Raw genomic sequence first — 4,967 nt, 5'->3', positions numbered from 1 at the left:
TTAAAAGTTATTGAGGAGTCCAAAGAGATCTTGTTTATGAGAGACAAATTTATCAACATTTCCAATATTAGAATTATACTGGAGACATTTAAAAAATTTGATTATATATATATATATATAACAATAATAAATGTATTATGATTTAACATATTTTTTGAAAAAATTATTTTACAAAAATTTTAACATGTTTTATTGTTTTAAATTTTTTCAAATCCTTTTAATATTTGGCTTAATAGGGAAGACTTGTATTTTAACATATGTATTTACATTAAATCAGTTGCAATATATTGTTTTGCTTGAACTATATAAAGAAAATTTTACCTCATAATGATATGTAGTTGAAAAAGGATAGAATATTTTAATAGCCTTTTCAAATAATTGTTGATTTTCTTTCATCTTATACCCAACTGTGATGAACAATAGTATCTCAATGGTCATTTGTAATGTAGAATATGGAGCCATATCAATAAGTTTCTTGTATTTAAAATCCATTGGTCTATGTTTCGCTGAGAATGGATCTTAGATGCAAACATAGTTTTGTAGCATCATGCGTTGGTCATTTGGAAAATATTTATTTCCTGAGGTATGTAAATCTTAAAGATGTCAATGTAGTAGACAATGTCAAAAATTATAGTTAAGATAACCAGGTGTGTCAGTCATCAGAAAAGATTCAGCTATTGGGAAGCTCTCAAACTTATAGTGGCAGATACAAGTTTTCTAAAATTTTTCTTTTCGTATGAAAGATAAAATTATATCATTGACAACAAATCATGGCAACTGTCTTCTTGATGTGACAGTCTCACTTCATTTATTTTTGAGAAAATATCTACCAAATATCCCAGGCCTGAATAATCATAGATCATCCAGTGCTTACTAGAGGCAATGTACAACATAGTGATTAGAATTTGGGGATCTCAAAGTGAGACATGTTTGGAACCAAATTCTGACTTGACTACTTATTTTGAACATATGAATACTTTATTGCCACTCCCACTCTATGAGATACAATAAATCTGACACCTTTGAAGCATATAAGCAGGGGCCCAGTACATTGTCATTGATCTGACTGCATTAATGAATAGATGGGGACAAAATGATCTTACAGCTGCATAGTCAATCATAGACCAAAAGGGCCTTGAAATCCCTTTCTGATTCATTTTACATACATTGTAGTTAAAATTAGGTCAGGAAGAAGATTAGGCAGATATCCTTGTTTCTTAAAGACAAACTTTAGTGTTGTCATATAATCACAACAATATCTGTTCTCCTGTATGCAGAACACCATTAATATACACCTAAGTATCTAAAATAATACTATTTTTTGAGTTTATAGATAGATAGATAGATAGATGATAGATAGATAGATAGATAGAGACAGAGTCTTGCTCTGTCGCCCAGACTGGAGTGCAGTGGTGCAATTTCGGCTCACTGCAACCTCCGCCTCCTGGGTTCAAGCGATTCTCCTGCCTCAGCCTCCTGAGTGGCTGGGATTACAGGCACGCACCACCACGCCCGGCTAATTTTTTTGTATTTTTAGTAGAGACAGGGTTTCACCATGTTGGTCAGGCTGGTCTCGAACTCCTGACCTCGTGATCCACCCACCTCGGCCTCCCAAAGTGCTGGGATTACAGGCATGAGCCACAGCGCCCAGCTGAGTTCTTATATTTTTAATCACATTTTTGAACTTTTGCCAAAATTTAAGTAGACAACAGAAGATAGAGTACACAGCACTTTTCCAGAGAGAGAGAGTCAAATATCCAGTGAGGAAAGGAAATAACTTCTTCTGGTTCTTATTTTTCAAAAGAGTAAACAAGTCTTGTTTATTTTTTTTAAACAACACATCAGACATTTAAAGGGAAGAATCTGAAATTCTATTTTAAGGTTGAAAGAATAAGAAACGTTCGATGTGCTATTTCATTTCATCCTTTAGTGTCATTTGGGTCACAATCATAACAAAACAGTTATCCAAAAAGAAAATTTAGATTTTTAAGTGCTCTTATGGAAGTGTTTTATAGAAAGTTATGCTCAGTGGATGTGAAGATGAAAAGGTACCTTCTCTTTGCTATTGCAGTAAAGGAGCATATGGTAGCTAATTATGCATGCTGTAGATTTTTAAATTATTTTTTCTCTTTCTATTCTTTTACTTTAAGAATAAGACTTTTATATATTTTCAAAGATGGGCATATGTCTAAGTAACTAAGAAGGCAAGTAACTAACCACCTTTCTCTTGTAGAATTCACACATGATCAGTCCAGCTGGGGAATATTTTCTTTCAATTGATTGCCCTGTTCTCTGAGAGGCCTCATGCTACAGAATACAATACATACAATCACTACTCTAGCTCTTTTGTTTTTTGTGATATTTCAGTGTAAGGCCAATACCAATTGATATTCATTCTTCCAATTTAGAGAAAGCAGTTTTAAAACTCTGGCAACTTAAAGAACATATTTCAGTTTTTTGGCATGGCCTATCTCATTGACTTTATAGTATTCAAATCAAAATATAATAACTTCTCTAGCCTGTATCCCCTAAGTGTTCTTGGAAATCTCATTCAGTCAGAAAACAGTCTCATATTTCAATCATACAAATCTACCTTTTTCTTTAAAAAAAATGAAGGTGAGCTCTGAATTCTGAATAAGAAAGTAGAACATGAAATGTAAACGAGTTAAACTTTTCAAATGTCAGAAATGAAAGGACTTTAGACATTGTTCAGTTCAATTTTGTCAATTTGGCAGATGAGAAAACTTTCTTAGAGAGGTGAATGATAACAACTACCATTATGGACTATTTTTTGGGAACTAAAGATTTCGTTAAGCACTGTGCATTTATTATTCCATTAATTCTAACAACAGCCTTTATCAATAGGTAAACAATCTCTGTGGTATAGAAGTGGAATCTAAGGTTCAAAGAAGCTAAATAATTTGCCCCTGTGTCATATCTAGAAAGAAAGACTCAGGGCCAGAATTTGAATCCAGGCCTGTCTGCTTGACATTCTAACCCATATCAGAGCTCTGAGAGGATGTGCTGAGAAGCTAAAGAAGGAGAGAAGGTCATAAAGCTCAGTCAGTGGAGTTAGCGCTTTTAAGGTTATGTCTTTGTTGCTGAGAATTGGGAGAGATTTACAATGTCAGCTAGTGAGGTGATAATTGGATTTTCAGCTCAACTCAGAATGACTTAGAGAGTGTGATTTATTTTTCAGTACATACGGGGATTTTAAAATTTGATATAGAGCTGAGGCCCCAGCAGGTCTCATGGTATAAACTGTGCTGGTTGAAAAAGGGAGGGACCATTGCCAGCCATCTTCCATATTTGCATGGGTATTGGAGACAACATTTGCTCCCTAGATGCATAGGCTCTGTCACTATTAGCTGTATAATTTGGGCATATCATTTCAATTTATCCATTTTCTCATCTGTAAATTGGTGACAATAAGAACTGCTTAATAACTTAGTACTATTGCTATGAAGATTTAGCAAAATATATATAATATTTTTAAAGGCAGTACATATTTAAATATTATTTCCCTAGAAGTCACTAGGCATTTGCAAAGTGTGACTAGTGAAATCAGCTCATGCAGAAACCTGTAGTAGGGGCCATTGTATAACAGTTTTCTCCTCTTAATAGGCATAAGAATTACCTGTGAATCTTATTAAAATGCAGATTCCTCCCAGTTCAGTAGGTCTAGGGTAGGGCTTGAAAGGTTTCATATCCAAAAAGTTCCCCAGAAGTATAAATACTGGGAATCCACTGACCACATTTTGAATAGCAAGGGTCTGGATTACAAAAAATTCTAGTGTTAATAAAACTTACGTAGTTTGAAGATTTTGGCTGAAATACAAGATACTCTTAAATGAAATGCTGGAAATGTTGGAGTAATAGAAACAAACTGGAATTATTTAAGGAAAGGATCATTTTATTTAACTTCCTTATTTTTGTGTAAGAGGAGACTACATACACGTGCGCGTGCACACACACACACACAAAGGTAAAGTACCGTTCTGAATGGCCAGCCAACAAGTTGGTAAAAGAGGCCAGATCTCCTGGCCTGAGGACATTTCTAGGCTGGGGTAGGCTGCTTCACCTGGCAGAATATCATCCACCCACTCAATCCATTACAGCTCCAGTTTAAAGAAAGTCTGCTGGAAGAATTCCCTGTTTCTTGGGGAGTTCTGTCTTCAACTGATTGGATGAAACTCATTCTCATTACAGATGGTAATCTGCTTTACTCAAAATCTACTGATTTAAATGTTAATCTCATCTAAAAAATACCCTCACAGCACCATCCAGACTTGTTTGACCAAATAAACATTAGGCTACCAGGGCCTAGTCAAATTAATACCTAAAATTAACCATCTCAAGATGGTGCCATTGAAACCCAGAGTAAAAGGAGTTTCAAGAAGGAGTGAGTAGCCAGCTATATTGACTACTGCTAAGAGGATCAGACATCATCTGTTACCTTCACCATCTAGGAAGTTATTACTGTCCTTGACAAGAGCAGTATCTGAGTGCTGGAAACAGAAGCCCAATTAGAGTATGTTGTGAGAAGAAATTACATATATAGGCATTTTTCTTTTTATGTCAATCTTCGAGAAATAATGAAAACTAAATCCACATTTTAACAAATCCTATTCCCTTCTCTCCTTTCCATCTCTAGGATATCTTAACTAAAGTTGGAAGCCTGGAGACTGTTTAGTTGGTCTCCAAATCTCTTTTCCTGATGACACAGCAAATAAAAATCAGCCAAAATAGTCTTATCTATTTTTAATCTTGTTATTGTATGTATGTATTTTTTTGTAAACTGACATTATCTTTTTTAAATGAATTGAGATATAAATAAAACATAGTGAGATATATTTTATTATAATACATTGATGATGTCTAAGATTATACAAATTTATGCTGAAAAGATATTGCAGAAGAATCAATGAATAAAACTTAAATGCCTTTAAAATCAAATCATAGACTTC

The sequence above is a fragment of the Homo sapiens genome, chromosome 17 (genome assembly GCF_000001405.40).
Source record: "Homo sapiens chromosome 17, GRCh38.p14 Primary Assembly".
In the NCBI taxonomy this organism is placed as follows: domain Eukaryota; kingdom Metazoa; phylum Chordata; class Mammalia; order Primates; family Hominidae; genus Homo; species Homo sapiens.
This window is presented reverse-complemented; position numbering follows the sequence as displayed.